The sequence below is a fragment of the Homo sapiens genome, chromosome 11, assembly GCF_000001405.40.
Source record: "Homo sapiens chromosome 11, GRCh38.p14 Primary Assembly".
In the NCBI taxonomy this organism is placed as follows: Eukaryota; Metazoa; Chordata; class Mammalia; order Primates; family Hominidae; genus Homo; species Homo sapiens.
Genome location: NC_000011.10, coordinates 25,718,316 through 25,739,454, shown reverse-complemented (window position 1 = coordinate 25,739,454; position 21,139 = coordinate 25,718,316). Strand labels below are relative to the sequence as shown.

Sequence of the window (21,139 nt, the reverse complement as noted above, 5' to 3'; positions counted from 1 at the left end):
GAGAGATAGGGGCCTAGATGTGTTCAGTTTCCCCAGCACCATTTACTGAAGATGCCATCCATTCCCCAGTGCATGTTTTTAGCACCTTTGTTAAAAATGAGTTTCCTATAAGTGTGTGGATTTATTTCTGAATTCTACATTTAGTTCCATTGGTATATGAAACTGTTTTTATGACAGTTCCATGTTGCTTTGGTTATTAATGCTCCGTAGTATAATTTGAAGTAAGAGAATGTGATTCCTTCAGTTTTCCCCCACTCGGGATGATTTTAGCTATTCTTCTATTTTTTGTGGTTCCACAAAATTTTAGGATTATTATTTCTATTCCCATGAAAACTGTCATTGGTATTTTGACAGGAATTGCATTTAATCTGTAGATTACTTTTGGTAATATAGACATTTAAACAATATTGGCTCTTGCAATTCATGAATAATCTAGCAATTTTACTGGTAAGTATGTATTAAAAATAAAGAAAATTATACTGTATATATACATACTGAGTATACTGAGGAGATAGCAGCACTGCCATATTTATTGCATCACTATTCACAATAACCAAGATTTGGGATCAACCTAAATGTCCATCAACAGATGAATGAATAAAGAAAAGGTAGTACATATACACAATGGAATATTATTCAAACATAAAAAGAATGAAATTCTGTCATTTGCAAATAACATGAATGGAACTCGAGGACATTACGTTAAGTGAAATAAGCGAGACACAGAAAGACAAATTTCACATGCTGAAAGCATATGTGGGACCTAAAAATTAAAATTATTGAACTCAGATGGAGAGTAGAATGATGGTTACCATAGGCTGGGAAGGGTCATGGAAAGAAAGTAAAATTGGGAATGGTTAATAAGTGTAAAAATATAATTAGATGGAAATGATAAAATCTAGTATTTGATAATACAATATGGTGACTATATTCAATAATAATTTATTGTATATTTTAAAATAACTTAAAGAGTGGAATTGGAATTTTTCTAACATAAATGACAAATGCTTGAGGTAATGGATACTCCAGTTACCCTGGTGTGATTACATACTAAAGCATCACACATACCTATAAATATATACAGCTATTAGAGGACTGTAATAATTGAAAATAATGAAGCTTTAAAGAGTAAAATAAATAACTTGACAATAACAACAATAGCAGCTCTCTTTAGCAAGAAAAACAATCAACAGTGAAAAGATAACCTATGGAATAAGAGTAAATTGCAAACATCTGATAAGGTGATAACTTTCAAAGAAACTCCTACAACGCAACAGTAAAAAAAAAAAAAAAGTATAAAGAGACCTGTCAGATTAGTTTTTTAAAAATAGAGTTAAATGTAGCTATTTTCAATGACTCTACATTCTTTAACTAGATCAATTAACATTAAATTACAAAATGTATAGAAATTATTTTTGAATTTGCATTTAAAATATTTTATCATCATGTCCCATATTACCTTTCCAGATATAAATATCCATAAATGGGCCAGAACAAAATATAAAAATTATAATTATAAACTTTCCAGAAGAAAATACAGAAGGTGTTTTATTATATTTTTGACCAGGTACAAATATTATAAAATGTAAAAGAAGTAAAAAAGACTAATTTTATTTCATTTAAATTAAAATATTTTCTCTTGTATATGGCATTATTTAAAGCTTGTAAAGCTATTTCCCAAAGGGAATACATAGCTCTGCCAAATGCCTGCTAAGGAGCATGAGATAATTTTATGAGTGATGGAAATATGGTTCATAAAAAATGGGTAAAGTGTACATAGATGTACATATTTGTCAAAATTCATCAAATGGTATATGTAAAATGGATGCATTTATTGTGTAAATTATACTTCAATGATGTTAAAAATAGAAGTGATTGTAATAATAAAAATAACATCATTACCCACACTTAAAGAGCTGAGGATGCAAAAAGAAATGTATTTTAAGATGAATATTGAAACTGGTACTGTGGTTGCTGATTTGACTATACTTCTGAACAGATTTTCATTTATCTTGCTCTTTTGGCTCAAATAGTCTTGCCAACCTACAAATTAGTTGCTAATCCTCCCCCACTTTGTACCCTTCAAGACTCCCCATTCAGCATATTATTGAATTTTCCAAATAATATAACCTCAGCCTTTGGCTCTGTTCAAACATGCCGCTGTTTACTTTTACAACTCAGAGTTCTGTGTACTATCTATGGCTTAGATACACGACGGCTTTCAACTCTGCATTTTGAGATCTGCTTCTTCCTTAAACATACTTTAACTTTCTCTTGTGTTCTAACACCTACTCTTCATTCTATAAACTTGGTAATTTCCACTTAATTTGTTACTTCCTTATATTTCCATCCCTAATTTTCCCAAGCTCATTAGAAATTGTTACCAAGTACAATGTAAAATTACTTGTTGCTCCTTTGACACTTTTCTTGACTGTAGACCAAAGGCCAATAGCCACCACCTTTATGTTTTGTTTTCTGAGTACTTAACTTGTGAAAAATAGCACACATGAACAGTTTAACAAAGTGTTCTTGAAGAAAACCTAGTAATCCAAGTTAGCAACTGTAGGAACCAGATTCTTGATATACATGTAAACTTGACCTGAATATATACATCTAATAATACCTAGAGAAGTTTCTAACTTTTGAAATTTATATTCACAACAAATAGATTTATAAAATTTACTAATTGCTAGTTTGGCATGAGATTACATGTAAAACATTAACAATGATACAGTTGACTACTGAAAAAAACTTTATAGAAGGGATCTGGAAGACTTTCATGTTCTTATTATCTGGATGCTAGTAAAGCCCCGTGCAAGCCTCAGGAAGTGATTTCTGTTGTGCCCTCCTCCCAAATTTTATTTTCTTTGCTTTATACTTGTCTCTCTAATTCTCTTCTATATGAATAGGCCATGGGTTCTTACATAATGTTGACTCTGTTCTGGGCTGCTATGTTTCCATTTTAGGATACTGTTGAAGACTATTAGTAAAACCACACAAACTCAAAGTTATTTTAAAATAACCAGGTATCAGGTAAATGGCTGCTGAGTGGGTATTGCAAAATGCCAGATCCTTTTTTCTTTCTCTTTTTCATGAGGAATGGATTCAAGGTCTTTTACCTAGACTACCTTTGCTGGGAGATTTCTCTGTCCTCTGGATTCTGTGTATAATAATCAATATGATTCACCAAGGACTGGGCAGAGCTATCTAAAAGGTGGCTTTCTCTTAATCCTTCTAAAAAACTCCCTATGGCTTCTTATTCCCAATTTGAGAATCTATTACAGACTTTTTTGTGTGTGGGAAATCATTTATAAATTTTCTTATGTCATCTCAACTGGGCTTTTTCATTCATCAAAACCTGCATCCTTGCCTGGAGCTGACATGCCTGGGAAACCTGAGTCAGTCATAAGGTAGAAGGAGAGATTTCTGTATTCTTCTGAAGCAATTTTTCTTTTCTTATTTAAAATTCTCTCTGTAAATCTAAGCTATTAAACTTCTCTCTAAAGTTTCAGCCAATGTATGTCTTGAGATTTCCCCATAATTCCAATTTTCTAGGATTTTTTTCTTTTCAGTAATGGTAATTCATTTGATAAACCAAAATTGATTTTGTATTTATCTATTTGTAAAATTTCAATCCAAATGAATTCATAGCTCATATTGAAAAAAAATTCCTTTGTCACATCAAGCCTTTCAATTTGGGATTCAAAGACTCTGGTCATATCTCGAGGATATATTCTCCAGTACAAAAAAAAAATGAAGTTGATTTTCTTGGATACTTGCTTTTTGATGAAAGTACAGTGCAATAATAGCTCTTAAATTCCAGAACTGATTTGGTTTTCAAAATATACAGGATTATTCCCTGGACATGAAAGACATTGTAAGTGTACTAATTACAATAAAAAAATGGAAGGATGACCTTTCTGTTTTAGCATGTCAAGCAATAAGCATCCTTGACTCACTGCCTAGACAGAATTGGCCAAAAAAAGGCTTTAAGGGCACTGACATATAATCTTAATTAGATAAATCACATCAAATTTCCAGCAATTCAAAAGGGAACTACAAAGTCAATGCTTCCTTGGAAACATACTCTACCTGTTTAAATGACAACTATGAAGCCTAGAGGTTATGTCAATGTGTTAGTTGCAGATGGCTACCTTCTCTCTGTGTCAAAGCACAGTCTTTCATCTATGAAAGTCTGTGTCCTCATCTAGTCTTCTTATAAGAATGCCAGTCATAATTGGATTAGCACCCACTCCAGTAACCTCACGTTGATATGATTAGCTCTTTAAAGGTCTTATCTCCAAATACAGTGACATTTTGAGGAACTGGATTTAGGACTCCAATATATGAATTTTGTAGGATACCATTCAGCCCCTAACAGTCCTCTCTAGGGTCAGTTCCCTTGCCTAGTAGTTGAGCAAAGGGAATTTTCTGAGTCACTTAGAAACTCTATACTACCTCTTTAATGGCAATGACCTGTATAGTTCAGAGCTTCATGAGACTTCCAGTCTATTTAAATTGTATCTGAGAGAGGCTTCTGTCTTTTAACATTTATCTTTTTTTTTTTTTTTTTTTCTGAACTTACCATCCCCAGTCAAGATGAAAATCATCACAAATGCAGCAACTTTTAAATTAGAAGAGCTGGGTTGCCTATAGAGGGCGCCATAACAGTGCATCATGATGATGGAATGTTCTTTGTATTCTAGAAGATATTTGACACCAGAGTTCCATCAGCACTCACAGAGTGTTTCAGGAAAAAAACAAACAGACAAACAAACAAAACTATGGATTAGTTATTTTTCTTACATGTGTAATTTTCTGTTAACTTTAAACATGATTTGCACATCTCTAATACTAGACTACACTATACTGCTATACCTAAAAATAAAATCTTTAAATAATGTTAGTGTTATATTCTTATATAATAATTAAAGAGTAACAACTGGATGATGTGGCATTCAGAAACAGCAGATACTGACCAACTAAAATTTTCGTTTTAATCTAGGTAGAGGTTTGTTTCTACCTGGCTGACTTACATATTTTGGAAAGTACACAAAAACACAACAGAAAGTCGAATAAATACTTAGATATTCAGACAATTTGTATTATTTTCTTAGAAAGAAATAGTTTATAAATGGTGTTAAGGATGCCAAAATGTTTTCACACCTTTTATTGTGCCCAGTAACTATAGGCCAGGAAAATGTGTTTAGAAAAAACCATTATCATTTGAGCTAGGGACAGTAGTGAATTTCATTATTTATAGACACTCTCTTTGACATTTCAATGTGTTTTGTATTTTGTAATTATCTAAGAGCTTCATTATTTACCCATTTTCTTGGCAAGATTAAAAAAATCTACGTATGTATTTGAAAAAAAATGCTGGCAGTAATCAGAGCCAGAATTACGTATGCAATGCTGAAATCACAATTCACATTCAGGAAATATTTGTAACATTGGATTTGAAAATTGCCTATAAATACCACTTTAAACTCCAGAGGGCAATATTTCTCAACCTGAGCCAGAATCCTTTAGAATTTCTGGAGGTGAGTGGAGTTCATAAAATAATTTTTAACTAGCTCCTCAGGAAAATATTCCTTCCCACTAAAGTTCAAGAATTTTATTGAAGAATTTTATAATGTTAGATGAACCACACAATTATGCCCCTGAAAGTTATTTCAACTCCCCTATCTCCCATCATAATCCTAAACCCAGTCAGTCACTATGTATGACAAGTTCTATTATCCTCAAATTTAATGATATTCCTTCCTTCTACTCTTTTTTCCCCCTTTATTTTATTTTATTTTAATTTTATTTTAAGCTCCGGGATACATGTGCAGGATATATAGGATCGTTACATAGTAAACATGTGCCATGGTGGTTTGTTGCATCTGTCAACCCATCACCTATGTATTAAGCCCAGAATGCATTTTTTTTTCCTGATGGACTCCTTCCTCCCACCCTCCTCTGTCAGGCATCAATGTAATGTGTGTTGTTCCCCCTCCTTGTGTATATGTGTTCGCATTGTTCATGTGTTTTTTTCCCACTTATAAGTGAGAACATGTGGTGTTGGTTTTCTGTTCCTGCATTAGTTTGCTGAGGCTAGTGGCTTCCAGCTTTATCCATGTCCCTGCAAAGGACATTATCTCATTTCTTTTTATGGCTGCATGGTATTCCATGGTGTATATGTACCACATTTTCTGTATCCAGTCTATCATTGATGGGCATTTGGGTTGATTCCATGTCTTTACTATCGTGAATAGTGCTGCAATAAACACATGTGTGCATGTATCTTTATAATAGAATAATTTATATTCCTTTTGGTATATACCCAGTAATGGGATTGCTGGGTCAAATGGTATTTCTGCTTCTAGATCTTTGAGCAATTCCCACACTGTCTTCCACAATGGTTGAACTAATTTACATTCCCAACAACAGTGTAAAAGCATTCCTATTTCTTCACAGCCTCACCAGCATCAGTTGTTTCCTTACTTTTAAATAATTGCCATTCTGACTGGCATGAGATAGTATCTCATTGTGGTTTTGATTTGCATGTCTCTAATTATCAGTGATGTTGAGCTTTTTTTCATATGCCTGTTGGTTGCATAAATGTCTTCTTTTGAGAAGTGTCTGTTCATGTCCTTTGCTACTTTTTAATGGGCTTGTTTTTTTCTTGTAAATTTGTTTAAGTTCCATGTAGATTCCAGATATTAGACCTTTGTTAGATGGATAGATTACAAAAATTTTCTGTCATTCTATAAGGTGTCTGTTCACTCTGTTGATAGTTTCTCTTGCTGTGCAGAAGCTCTTGGGTTTCATTATATCCCAATTGTCAATTTTTGCTTTCATTGCAATTGCTTTTGGTGTTTTAATCATGAAATCTTTACCTGTTCCTATGTCCTAAATTGTATTGCCTAGATTTTCTTCTATGTTTTTATAGTTTTGGTTGTTATGTTTAAGTCTTTAATCCATCTTGAGTTAATTTTTGCAAAAGGTGTGAGGAAGGGGTCCAGATTCAGTTTTCTGCATGTGGCTAGCCAGTTCTCCCAGCACCATTTATTTAATAGGGAATTTATTCCCCATTGTTTGTTTTTGTCAGATTTGTCAAAGACCAGATGGTTATAGATGTGTGGTCTTGTTTCTGAGTTCTCTATTCTGTTTCATTGGTCTATGTCTCTGTCCCTGTACCAATACCATGCTGTTTTAGTTACTGTAGACTTGTAGTATAGTTTGAAGTCAGGTAGCATGATGCTTCCAGCTTTGTTCTTTTTGCTTAGTATTGTCTTGGCTATATAGGCTCTTTTTTGGCTTCCTTTGAATTTTAAAGTAGTTTTTTTCTAATTCTGTGAAGAATGGGATTAGGATTTGGTGTTCTATCCTTCCTTTTTTCTAACACCATTGCTGGTGCTATAATTCAGGCTCTCTGGATTTCTATTTTGATTCTAAAATAATTTTCTAATTAGACTGTTTTCATCTCACTTTAATGTCTCATTAATCTACTTTTCATTCAGGACCTAAATTCTCCTAAAGGGCAAATCAAATCCAGCCAAACAGCCATTGCAATTGAAATGAAAAAATGACTGTTCTTCCTGTGTTGGAAGGAGACAGGACAGGGAAGATTCTCAGAGCAACCCACTCAAGTAGTATGGTGGTTGTTTATTCTCCTGAGTCGTCAATTCAATGAAATAGAAAGTGAAGCCTCTAGGGGTGGTCAGGTGCTCAGGTGTGTGTTAATTCCTAGAGAGAAATTCTACAGCTCTCACTGTGGGAGCTCTCCATGATCCTCATGATGAATCCAAAGTTTGTCTCACTGTACATGAAATCTGTCCAAATCTGACCCCTGTTACATCTCCATTATTCTTGTCTTTGGGTCAAGTAAATATTACTTATAACTGCATTTTAATTTTTCTGTTAAATTTTACTCAATGCCTGTTTGCATTGTTTTATTTTATTTTACTTTAATTAATTCATTTTATTTTAGTGGTTGTTCTAGGAATGAAGATGTATTTTCCTAAATTTTTGCAATCTATTTATAATTAATATATAATAATACCACTTTACCTCAAATGTAAAATCTTTGAAAATGCACTTACATACTAATATGGTTAGGCTTTGTGTTCCCACCCAAATCTCATCTTGAATTCTAATCCCCAGGTGTTTAGGGAGAGATTTGGTTGGGAAGTGATTGGATTATGGGGGTGGTTTGTCCCATGCTGTTCTGATGATAGTGAGTGAGTTCTCATGAGGTCTAATGATTTTATGAGCATCTGGCATTTCCCGTTTGTACCTCTCTCTGTCCTGCTGCCATGTAAGGTGTGCCTGCTTCCCCTTCCACCATAATTATAAGTTACCTGAGGCCTCTCAGTCATGTGGAACTGTGAGTCGATATATCTTTTTTGTGTATAAATTACCCAGTCTCACATAGTATCTTCATAGCAATGTGAAAACAGATTAATACAGATACTCTCTATTCTTTGTGGCATGTTTCTTATATGCACTATATCTACATATGCTGTAAAATTGACAAGACAATGTCATATTTTTTTATTTATTAGTATGTATTTTAAAGAAATAAATAGAAAACATATTATATCTACACATTTGTTTTTACTTCTGAAAGTCTGATTTTCCTTTTTATGTTGTTCCCCTGACAAGCTTTATTTATTATTTTGTGTAGTGTAGATTTGTTAGCACCAAATCCTTGCATTATTTATGACATTATTATTTGAAAGTTATGTACACTGTGTATACAAATCTGTTGGAAACACACATATACATGTGTATGTGTGCGTATTTCATATACACATATATATATGTATACACATACACACACACACCGTACAGTTTTCCCTGGATCTTTGGGTCTTCATTTCTGAGGGCTCTCATGTCATATAAAACTTTGACTGAATATATTTGTTACGATATTCTTTTGTAGAACTCTCTTTCATTATATGGGTGTCAGCTATGAACCTTACAATGGATGAGGATAAGATATTACTTACTCTACCCAAAACTGCCAGCATTGCAATTATTTTTGTTAATAGGTTTATGTTACAAACAAGGTTTATAGTGAAATAAGCAGAATGTGAAGTTACACCAACAATATGGCCATGACTTTATCAAAAGTTGATGTAAGCCACTCACCCCCTGCATCCCACAACACACATATACTACAGAGAAAGGATTTAAATTAAATGCACTAAAATCTCAACAGTGGATCTATAGATGTTGGAATATCAGTGACTTCTTATCTTTCACTTTTTATAGGGATTTTGATTGTCAGGGTTGGCAAAATCACTGTAATTTGCCCTGCAGTGGTGAGCAAAGACAATTCTTGCTTTGTGTGGACTCTAGGACTACAAGTCCCTGGAAAACACCCTATGTCTCTTTTGTGTGAGCAAGTACTTTCTTTTTTATTGCCATTTTCCTATGAAAAGAAGGAAGCCAAGCTGACTTTTCCAAGGTCATTCCTTGAAGTTTCCAAGACACTTGAGTCTCATAGTAACCAAAAGTGGATCTAGAATTATCCACCTGATGATAGAAATCGCTTTATGAAAAGTCCTTCTACCACTGTGTCAATAGTACTCCAAGGTAAAAATGTGAACTATTAATACATTTATAGAAAAGGACACGGAGAGATCTTCTTAGCAAAGATGGCTTACTAGAGTCAGCCAGAAAGAGCTTCTCTCACAGAGACCAGACCACCAAGAAGACTAGAACATCCTGAACAGATTCTAGGAAAGGAGGCATTGAGAGTAAATGGAGGAAGGATGCAGACCCTGGGCTGAAAGGAGAGGAAGCCGGGAATGCTGTATGGGATTGCCTACTACTAAGACTCATTTCTGGCCTTGACTGGCTCCCGGGGAAGGGCTGAGTAAAATAGGCATGGAGTGGCCCACTCTCACCATAGACCTCCAGAATACTACATATATGGCACCCCACAACCACCACAAACATTTGAGCTGAAAGGGAAAACTTCCAGGTCAGTTGTCAGAGACAGAACTCCAGCCTGCATAGAGCCCATTGGGTTTGGTGTGGAAATGGCTTCAGTGAAGCATAGCCATGGATGCCCATCCCTCAAGGCTTGCCATACTCCCGCACGTAGGTTTAGCCTTTGTTGAGTGACAAATCTGAACAAAGAAGGGATATCTTGCCTTTGGGATGCAGCCAGTCTGATCTGAGTGTCCCTCTGTCTGCTGGTCTCTCCCAGGGTCTCTGCCTGGCTGCACCCACTTGCAAGGCATCCTTAGTTGCCCCACTGAAGCATGTGCCAGTGGCTACGACCATGGCTTTTTCAGAGGCAGACCTTGCCTTGTTTTGCAGACAGAGCCTTACTGGCATGCACCTACCCACACCCTTCCTCCATCATTTTGCCACCATGCACAGAAGCACGGACCCCACCGCTGCCTCAGTGCCAGTGCATACTGCACACAGGACCTACTGCCTCCCTACCAGCAGTGCACTAAAACACTTTTGACAGAATGTTGTTGCCAGAGAACTGGGAATACCTTGGCCCCTTCAAGACAACAGGTGCTTAACATTCATGGCCAGAGAAAAAAGCTTTTCTCTAGCCTCAATGGGACAGAGAAAAAATGTGGGCCTTGTCTCAGCCTCCCAGAGATAGAATATGCAGTCCGAGCAGGCTGAGCTGAATTTTGGCCCTCTGAAATAATTACCCAGAAATGAAGCAAATTACAAAACCCAACTTGTACTACAGTTAAACACTAAAGGGCACCAAATAATATAAAAGTAAAAAGGTCCATACAAAGGACAGCAATTTCAAATGTTAAAGGAACATCAGTCCACACAGATAAGAAAGAACCAATGTGAGAACTCAGGCAATTCTAAAAGCCAGAGTATCTTCTGTCCTACCTCCAAAAGACTGCACTAGCTCACCAGCAATGGCCTTAACCAGACTGAAATGGTTAAAATGACAGACATAGAATTCAGAATCGGGATGGCAATGAAGCTCACAGAGCTTCAGGAGAAAGTTGAACCCCAATACAAGGAAACTAAGGAATCCGATAAAATGATAGAAGAGCTAAAAGATGAAATAGCCATTTTACGAAAGAACCAAAATGATATTATAGAGCTCAAAACCTTACTACAAGAATTTCATAATAGAATTGGAAGTATTAATAGCAGAATAGACCAAGCTGTGGAAAGAATATCACAGCTTCAAGACTAGTTTTTCAAATCAACCCAGTCACACCAAAAAAATGAAAAAAAAATTAAAAATGAACAAAATATCTGAGAAACATAGAATCATGTAAACAGACCAAACCTATGACTCACTGACATTCCAGAAGGAGAGAGAGAGAGAGAGAGAACGAGAACCAACAACTTGGAAGACATATTTGAGGATATTGTCCACAAAAATTTTCCAACCTAGCTACACAGGTCATTGTGCAAATTCAGGAAATTCAGAGAACCCCTGTTAGATAGTATATACCATGACCATCCCCAAAACACGTAATCAGTAGATTCTCCAAGGTTAATCTGAAAGAAAAAAAATTTACAGGCAGATGGGGAGAAGGGACAGGTCACCTTCAAATGGAACGCCATCAAGCTAACAGAAAAACTTTTAGCAGAAACCTTACAAACCAAAAGAAATTGAGGCCTCTATATAGCATCTTTAATGAAAAGAAACTCCAACTAATAATTTCATATCCAGCCAAACTAAGTGAAGGAGCAATAAAACTATTTTCAGACAAGCAAATGCCTAGGGAATTCATTACCACTGGATCTGCCTTATAAGATGTCCTTCAGAGAATGCTAAACATGGAAACAAAAGACTGTTAACTGCCACCACAAAACACACTGAAGTACATAGCCCACTGACACTATAAAGCAACTATACAATCAAGTCTATATAACAACCAGCTGACAGCATGAGGACATGATCAAATCCTTACCTATCAATAATCTCTTAGAATGTAAATAGGCAAAATGCCCCACTTAAAAGGCACAGCGTGGCAAATTGTATAAAAAAAAGCAGATCCAGCTGTATGCTGTCTTCACGAGATTCACCTCACATGCAGTGACACATACAGGCTCAAAGTAAAGGGATGGAGAAAGATCTATAAAGCAGACAGAAAACAAAAGAAGCAGGAGTTTTTAATTCTTATTTGTCTTTTATAAAGACAAACCAGACTTTAAGAATGATCAAAAAGGAAAAAGAAGGGCATTACATAATGATAAATGGTTCAATTAAACAAGAAGACTTAACTATCCTAAACATACATGCACCCAACACTGGAGCACCCACATTCATAAAACAAGTTCTTAAAGACCTACAAAGAGACTTAGATAACCACACAATAGTAGGGGGAGACTTCAACACCTCACTGACAGTTTTAGACAGATCACTGAGGCAGAAGACTAACAGATATTCAGGACCTAAACTCAACACTTGACCAAATAGACCTATAAGATATCTACAGAACACTTCACCCAAAACAACAGAATATATAATATTATCATCTGTAAATGGCACATACTCTAAGATTGACCACACTCTGCCACAAAGCAATTCTAAGGAAACTTCACAAAGGAAAATTACATCAACCACACTATTGAGCCACAGCATAATAAAAATAGACATTAATACCAAGAAGATCTCTCAAAACTATACAATTACATGGAAATTATACAACCTGCTCTCGAATGGCTTTTGGGTAAATGACAAAATTAAAGCAGAAATCAAGAAATTATTTGAAACTAATGAAAACAAAGGTACATCATACAAAGAATCTCTGGGACACAGCTAAAGCAGTGTTAAGATCAAAGATCATAGCATTAAATGCCAATATCAAAAATTTAGAAATATCTTTAATTAGAAACTTAACATCACACCGAAAGGAACTAGGAAAACAAGAGCCAACCAACCTCAAAGCTAGCAGAAGAAAATAAATAACCCAAATCAGAATTGTACTGAACAAACTTGAGACACAAAAATCCATACAAAAGTTCAATGAAAGCAAAAGTTTGTTTTTTGAAAAAATAAATAAGATTGATAAACTGCTAGCTAGGCTAAAAAAGAAAAAAGAGAGAAGCTCTAAATAAACATAATCAGAAATGACAAGGGTGACATTACCAATGAACCCAAAGAAATACAAGAAGTCCTCAGGGACTATTACAAACGCCTCTGTGCACACAAATTAGAAAACATAGAATAAATGAGTAAGTTCCCGGAAACATAAAACCTCCCAAGATTGAACCATGAAGAAATTGAATACTTGAAGACATCAATAATAATTTCCAAAATTGAATCAGTAATAAAAAAGCTACCAGGCCGGGCACAGTGGCTCACGCCTGTAATCCCAGCACTTTGGGAGGCTGAGGAGGGCGGATCACAAGGTCAGGAGATCCAGACCACAGTGAAACACCGTCTCTACTAAAAATACAAAAAATTAGCTGATCACGCTGGCAGGCACCTGTAGTCCCAGCTACTCGGGAGGCTAAGGCAGGAGAATGGCGTAAACCCAGAAGGCAAAGCTTGCAGTGAGCCCAGATCACGCAACTGCACTCCAGCCTGGGTGACAGAGCGAGACTCCACCTCAAAAAAAAAAAACAAAAAAACAAAAAAACAAAAAAACTACCAACCAAAAAAGTCTTGGAGTAGACAAATTCACAGCCAAATTCTACTAGATGTATAATGGAAACCTGGTACCAATCCTCCTGAAACTATGCCAAAAAGCTGAGGAGAGACTTTTTCCTAATTCATTCTATAAGGCCAGAATCATTCTGATACCAAAACCTGGTAGAGACACAATGAAAAACACAAACTTCATGACAATATACCTGATGAACTTAGACACAAAAATCCTCAATAAAATACTAGCAAATCAAAGTCAGCAGGATATCAAAAAGTTAATCCACCATGAGAAAGTAGGCTTTATTTCTGATAGGTGAGGTTGGTTCAATATATGCAAATCAATAAATATGATTTATCACATGAACAGAACTAAAAACAAAAACCACATGATCTTCTCAAAAGATGCATAAAGGGTTTTGATAAAATTTAACATCCATTCATATTAAAACCATCAACAAACTAGGCATTGAAGGAATATACCTCAAAATAATGACAGCCATCTATGACAGACCCACAGCTAATGTCATACTGAATGGGAAAAAGCTGAAAGCATTTCACTTGAGAAATGGAATAAGACAAGTATGTTCACTCTCACCACCCCTATTCAACATAATACTGGAAGTCCTAGCCAGAACAATCAGGCATGAGAAAAATACAAAAGGCATCCAAACAGGAAGAGATGAAATCAAATTCTCTCTCTTCTCAAATGATACAATTCCCTACACAGAAAACCCATGGTGTCTACACAATGACCACTAGAACTAATAAACAAGGTCAGTAAAGCTTCAGGATACTAAATTAATGTACAAAGAGCAGTAGCATTTGTACACACTGATAATGTCCAAGCTAGGAGCCAAATCAAGCATGCAATATCCTTCACAATAGTCACAAAAACAATAAAATACTTCGGAATACAGCCAACCAGGGAGATGAGAGATCTCTACAATTAGAATTACAAAAGACTGGGTGGAGCCAAGATGGCCGAATAGGAACAGCTCCAGTCTAGAGCTCCCAGTGTGAGCAACGCAGAAGATGGGTGATTTCTGCATTTCCAACTGAGGTACCAGGCTCATCTCACTGGGGAGTGACACTGGGGAGTGTTGGAAAGTGGGTGCAGGACAGTGGGTGCACTGCACCCAGCGTGAGCAGAAGCAGGGCGAGACATTGCCTCACCCGGGAAGCGCAAGGGGTCAGGGAATTCCCTTTCCTAGTCAAAGAAAGGGGTGACAGATGGCACCTGGAAAATCAGGTCACTCCCACCCTAATACTGCGCTTTTCCAATGGTCTTAGCAAACAGCACACCAGGAGATTATACCCCATGCCTGGCTTGGAGGGTCCTAAGCCCATGGAGCCTTGCTTATTGCTAGCACAGCAGTCTGAGATCAAACTGCAAGGAGGCAGCGAGGCTCGGGGAGGGGCACCTGCCATTGCTGAGGCTTGAGTAGGTAAACAAAGTGGCCAGGAAGCTCGAACTGGGTGGAGCTCACCACAGCTCAAGGAGGCCTGCCTGCCTCTGTAGACTCCACCTCTGGGGGCAGGGAACAGCCAAACAAAAGGCAGCAAAATCCTCTGCAGACTTAAATGTCCCTGTCTGATAGCTTTGAAGAGAGTAGTGGTTCTCCCAGCATGCAGCTGGAGATCTGAGAACAGACAGACTGCCTCCTCAAGTGGGCCCCTGACCCCCGAAAAGCCTAACTGGGAGGCACCCCCCAGTAGGGGCAGACTGACACCTCACACAGCTGGGTACTCCTCTGGGACAAAACTTCCAGAGGAATGATCAGGCAGCAACATTTGCTGCTCACCAGTATCCGCTGTTCTGCAGCCTCCGCTGCTGATACCCAGGCAAACAGGGTCTGGAGTGGACCTCCAGCAAACTCCAACAGACCTGCAGCTGAGAGTTCTGACTGTTAGAAGGAAAACTAACAAACAGAAAGGACATCCACACCAAAACCCCATCTGTACGTCACCATCATCAAAGACCAAAGGTAGATAAAACCACAAAGATGGGGAAAAAACAGAGCAGAAAAACTGGAAACTCTAAAAATCAGAGCGCCTCTCCTCCTCCAAAGGAATGCAGCTCCTCACCAGCAACGGAACAAAGCTGGATGGAGAATGACTTTGATGAGTTGAGAGAAGGCTTCAGACGAACAAACTACTCCGAGCTAAAGGAGGAATTTCGAACCCATGGCAAAGAAGTTAAAAACCTTGAAAAAAAATTAGACGAATGGCTAACTAGAATAACTAATCCAGAGAAGTCCTTAAAGGACCTGATGGAGCTGAAAACCAAGGCACAAGAACTACATGATGAATGCACAAGCCTCAGTAGCCAATTCGATCAACTGGAGAAAGGGTATCAGTGATGGAAGACCAAATGAATGAAATGGAGCGAGAAGAGAAGTTTAGAGAAAAAAGAATAAAGAGAAACGAACAAAGCCTCCAAGAAATATGGGACTATGTGAAAAGACCAAATCTACGTCTGATTGGTGTACCTGAAAGTGACAGGGAGAATGGAACCAAGTTGGAAAACACTCTGCAGGATATTATCCAGGAGAACTTCCCCAATCTAGGAAGGCAGGCCAACATTCAAATTCAGGAAATACAGAGAACGCCACAAAGATATTCCTCGAGAAGAGCAACTCCAAGACATATAATTGTCAGATTCACCAAAGTTGAAATGAAAGAAAAAATGTTAAGGGCAGCCAGAGAGAAAGGTCGGGTTACCCACAAAGGGAAGCCCATTAGACTAACAGCTGATCTCTCAGCAAAACTCTACAAGCCAGAAGAGAGTGGGGGCCAATATTCAACATTCTTAAAGAAAAGAATTTTCAACCCAGAATTTCATATCCAGACAAACTAAGTTTCATAAGTGAAGGAGAAATAAAATACTTTACAGACAAGCAAATGCTGAGAGATTTTGCCACCACCAGGCCTGCCCTAAAGGATCTCCTGAGGTAAGCACTAAACATGGAAAGGAACAACTGGTACCAGCCACTGCAAAAACATGCCAAATTGTAAAGACCATCAAGGCTAGGAAGAAACTGCGTCAACCAACGAGCAAAATAACCAGCTAACATCATAATGACAGGATCAAATTCACACATAACAATATTAACCTTAAGTGTAAATGGGCTAAATGCTCCAATTAAAAGACACAGACTGGCAAATTGGATAAAGAGTCAAGACCCATCAGTGTGCTGTATTCAGGAAACCCATCTCATGTGCAGAGACACACATAGGCTCAAAATAAAGGGATAGAGGAAGACCTACCAAGCCAATGGAAAACAAAAAAAGGCAGGGGTTGCAATCCTAGTCTCTGATAAAACAGACTTTAAACCAACAAAGATCAAAAGAGACAAAGAAGGCCATTAAATAATGGTAAAGGGATCAATTCTACAAGAGGAGCTAACGATCCTAAATATATATTCACCCAATACAGGAGCACCCAGATTCATAAAGCAAGTCCTCAAAGACTTAGAAAGAGACTTAGACTCCCAGACAATAATAATGGGAGACTTTAACACCCCACTGTCAACATTAGACAGATCAATGAGACAGAAAGTTCACAAGGATATCCAGGAATTGAACTCAGCTCTGCACCAAGCAGACCTAATAGATATCTACAGAACTCTCCACCCCAAATCAACAGCATATACATTCTTCTCAGCATCACACCACACTTATTCCAAAATTGACCACATAGTTGGAAGTAAAGCGCTCCTCAGCAAATGTAAAAGAACACAAATTATAACAAACTGTCTCTCAGACCACAGTGCAATCAAACTAGAACTCAGGATTAAGAAACTCACTCAAAACCGCTCAACTACATGGAAACTGAACAACGTGCTGCTGAATGACTACTGGGTACATAACGAAATGAAGGCAGAAATAAAGATGTTCTTTGAAACCAACGAGAGTAAAGACACAACATACCAGAATCTCTGGGATGCATTCAAAGCAGTGTGTAGAGGGAAATTTATAGTACTAAATGCCCACAAGAGAAAGCAGGAAAGATCTAAAATTGACACCTTAAGATCACAATTAAAAGAACTAGAGAAGCAAGAGCAAACACATTCAAAAGCTAGCAGAAGGCAAGAAATAACTGAGATCAGAGCAGAAATGAAGGAAATAGAGACACAAAAAATCCTTCAAAAAATCAATGAATCCAGGAGCTGGTTTTTTGAAAAGATCAACAAAATTGATAGACCACTAGCAAGACTAATAAAAAAGAAAAGAGAGAAGAATCAAATAGATGCAATAAAAAATGATAAAGGGGATATCACCACAGATCCCACAGAAATACAAAATACCATCAGAGAATACTATAAACACCTCTACGCAAACAACCTAGAAAATCTAGAAGAAATGCATAAATTCCTTAACACATACACCCTCCCAAGACTAAACCAGGAAGAAGTTGAATCTCTGAATAGACCAATAACAGACTCTGAAATTGACGCAATAATTAATAGCTTACCCACCAAAACAAGTCCAGGACCAGATGGATTTACAGCCGAATTCTACCAGAGGTACAAGGAGGAGCTGGTACCATTCCTTCTGAAACTATTGCAATCAATAGAAAAGAGGGAATACTCCCTAACTCATTTTATGAGGCCAGCATCATGCTGATACCAAAGCCTGGCAGAGACACAACCAAAAAAGAGAATTGTAGACCAATATTCCTGATGAACATCGTTGCAAAAATCCTCAGTAAAATACTGGCAAACCGAATCTAGCAGCACATCAAAAAGCTTATCCACCATGATCAAGTGGGCTTCATCCCTGGGATGCAAGGCTGGTTCAACATACACAAATCAATAAATGTAATCCAGCATATAAACAGAACCAACGACAAAAACCACATGATTATCTCAATAGATGCCTTTGACAAAATTCAACAACCCTTCATGCTAAAAACCCTCAATAAATTAGGTATTGATGGGACGTATCTCAAAATAATAAGAGCTATCTATGACAAACCCACAGCCAATATCACACTGAATGGGCAAAAACTGGAGGCATTCCCTTTGAAAACTGGCACAAGACAGGGGTGCCCTCTCTCACCACTCCTATTCAACATAGTGTTGGAAGTTCTGGCCAGGGCAATCAGGCAGCAGAAGGAAATAAAGGGTATTCAATTATGAAAAGAGGAAGTCAAATTGTCCCTGTTTGCAGATGACATGATTTTATATCTAGAAAACCCCATCATCTCAGCCCCAAATCTCCTTTAGCTGATAGGCAACTTTAGCAGAGTCTCAGGATACAAAATCAATGTGCAAAAACACAAGCATTCTTATACACCAATAACAGACAAACAGAGAGCCAAATCCTGAGTGAACTCCCATTCACAATTGCTTCAAAGAGAATAAAATACCTAGGAATCCAACTTACAAGGGACCTGAAGAACCTCTTCAAGGAGAACTACAAACCACTGCTCAAGGAAATAAAAGAGGATACAAACAAATGGAAGAACATTCCATGCTCATGGGTAGGAAGTATCAATATTGTGAAAATGGCAATACTGCCCAAGGTAATTTATAGATTCAATGCCATCCCCATCAAGCTACCAATGACTTTCTTCACAGAAATGGAAAAACTACTTTAAAGTTCATATGGAACCAAAAAAGAGCCCACATTGTCAAGTCAATCCTAAGCCAAAAGAACAAAGCTGGAGGCATCATGCTACCTGACTTCAAACTATACTACAAGGCTACAGTAACCAAAACAGCACGGTACTGGTACCACAACTGAGATATAGACCAATGGAACAGAATAGAGCCCTCAGAAATAATGCCACATATCTACAACCGTCTGATCTTTGACAAACCTGACAAAAACAAGAAATGGGGAAAGGATTCCCTATTTAATAAATGGTACTGGGAAAACTGGCTAGCTATATGTAGAAAGCTGAAACTGGATCCCTTCCTTACACCTTATACAAAAATTAATTCAAGATGGATTAGAGACTTAAATGTTAGACCTGAAACCATAAATACCCTAGAAGAAAACCTAGGCAACACCATTCAGGACATAGGCATGGGCAAGGACTTCATGTCTAAAACACCAAAAGCAATGGCAACAAAAGCCAAAATTGACAAATGGGATCTAATTAAACTAAAGAGCTTCTGCACAGCAAAAGAAACTACCATCAGAGTGAACAGGCAACCTACAGAATGGGAGAAAAGTTTTGCAATCTACTCATCTGATAAAGGGCTAATATCCAGAATCTACAATGAACTCCAACAAATTTACAAGAAAAAAGCAAACAACTCCATCAAAAAATGGGCCAAGGATATGAACAGACACTTCTCAAAAGAAGACATTTTTGCAGCCAAAAGACACATGAAAAAATGCTCATCATCACTGGCCATCAGAGAAATGCAAATCAAAACCACAATGAGATACCATCTCACACCAGTTAGAATGGCAATCATTAAAAAGTCAGGAAACAACAGGTGCTGGAGAGGATGTGGAGAAATAGGAACACTTTTACACTGTTTGTGGGACTGTAAACTAATTCAACCATTGTGGAAGACAGTGTGGCGATTCCTCAAGGATCTAGAACTAGAAATACCATTTGACCCAGCCATCCCATTACTGGGTATATACCCAAAGGATTATAAATCATGCTGCTATAAAGACACATGCACACGTATATTTATTGTGGCACTGTTCACAATAGCAAAGACTTGGAAACAAGCCAAATGTCCAACATTGGTAGACTGGATTAAGAAATTGTGGCACATATATTAGTAGATATACCTAATGCTAAACGACGAGTTAATGGGTGCAGCACACCAACATGGCACATGTATACATATGTAACAAAACTGCACATTGTGCACATGTACCCTAAAACTGAAAGTATAATAATAATACAATAATAAAAAAAGAAAATGTGACACATATACACCATGGAATACTATGCAGCCATAAAAAATGATGAGTTGATGTCCTTTGTAGGGACATGGATGAAACTGGAAACCATCATTCTCAGCAAACTATCGCAAGGGCAAAAAATCAAACACTGCATGTTCTCACTCATAGGTGGGAATTGAGCAATGAGAACACGTGGACAGAGGAAGGGGAACATCACACACTGGGGCCTGTTGTGGGGTGAGGGGAAGGGGAGGGATAGCATTAGGAGATATACTTAATGTTAAATGACGAGTTAATGGGTGCAGCACACCAACATGGGACACGTATACATATGTAAGTAACATGCATGTTGTGCACACGTACCCTAAAACTTAAAGTATATATAAAAAAAGAAGAACTACAAAACACTGCTGAAAGAAATCAGAGATTATATAAACAAATGGAAAAACATGCCGTGTTCATATGTAGGGAGAATCAATATTGTTAAAATGGACATACTTCCCAAAGCAATTTTCAGATTCAGTGCTATTTGTATCAAACTTCCAACATCGTTTTTCACAGAATTGGAAAAATAATATTTGAAAATGTATATGAAACCAAAAATGAGCCCGAATACCCAGAGTGATCCTAAGCAAACAGAAAAAAGCCAGAGGCATTACACTACCAACT

General features: G+C 37.3%; 1 long non-coding RNA gene across 3 annotated transcripts in view; it reads right to left on the bottom strand.

Annotated features, from left to right (window-relative positions):
- The window catches only part of LINC02699 (long intergenic non-protein coding RNA 2699), a 470,852-nt gene that overhangs the window by 184,997 nt on the left and 264,716 nt on the right, over nucleotides 1-21,139 (bottom strand). The window contains exon 1 of one of the 3 annotated variants that reach the window (NR_183692.1): nucleotides 4,586-4,704. The exons of the other annotated variants lie outside the window; for them this stretch is intronic. This is a non-coding gene — a long non-coding RNA (long intergenic non-protein coding RNA 2699). Of the gene's footprint in view, nucleotides 1-4,585; nucleotides 4,705-21,139 lie in introns of those variants that run through there. 3 annotated transcript variants of the gene reach the window in all.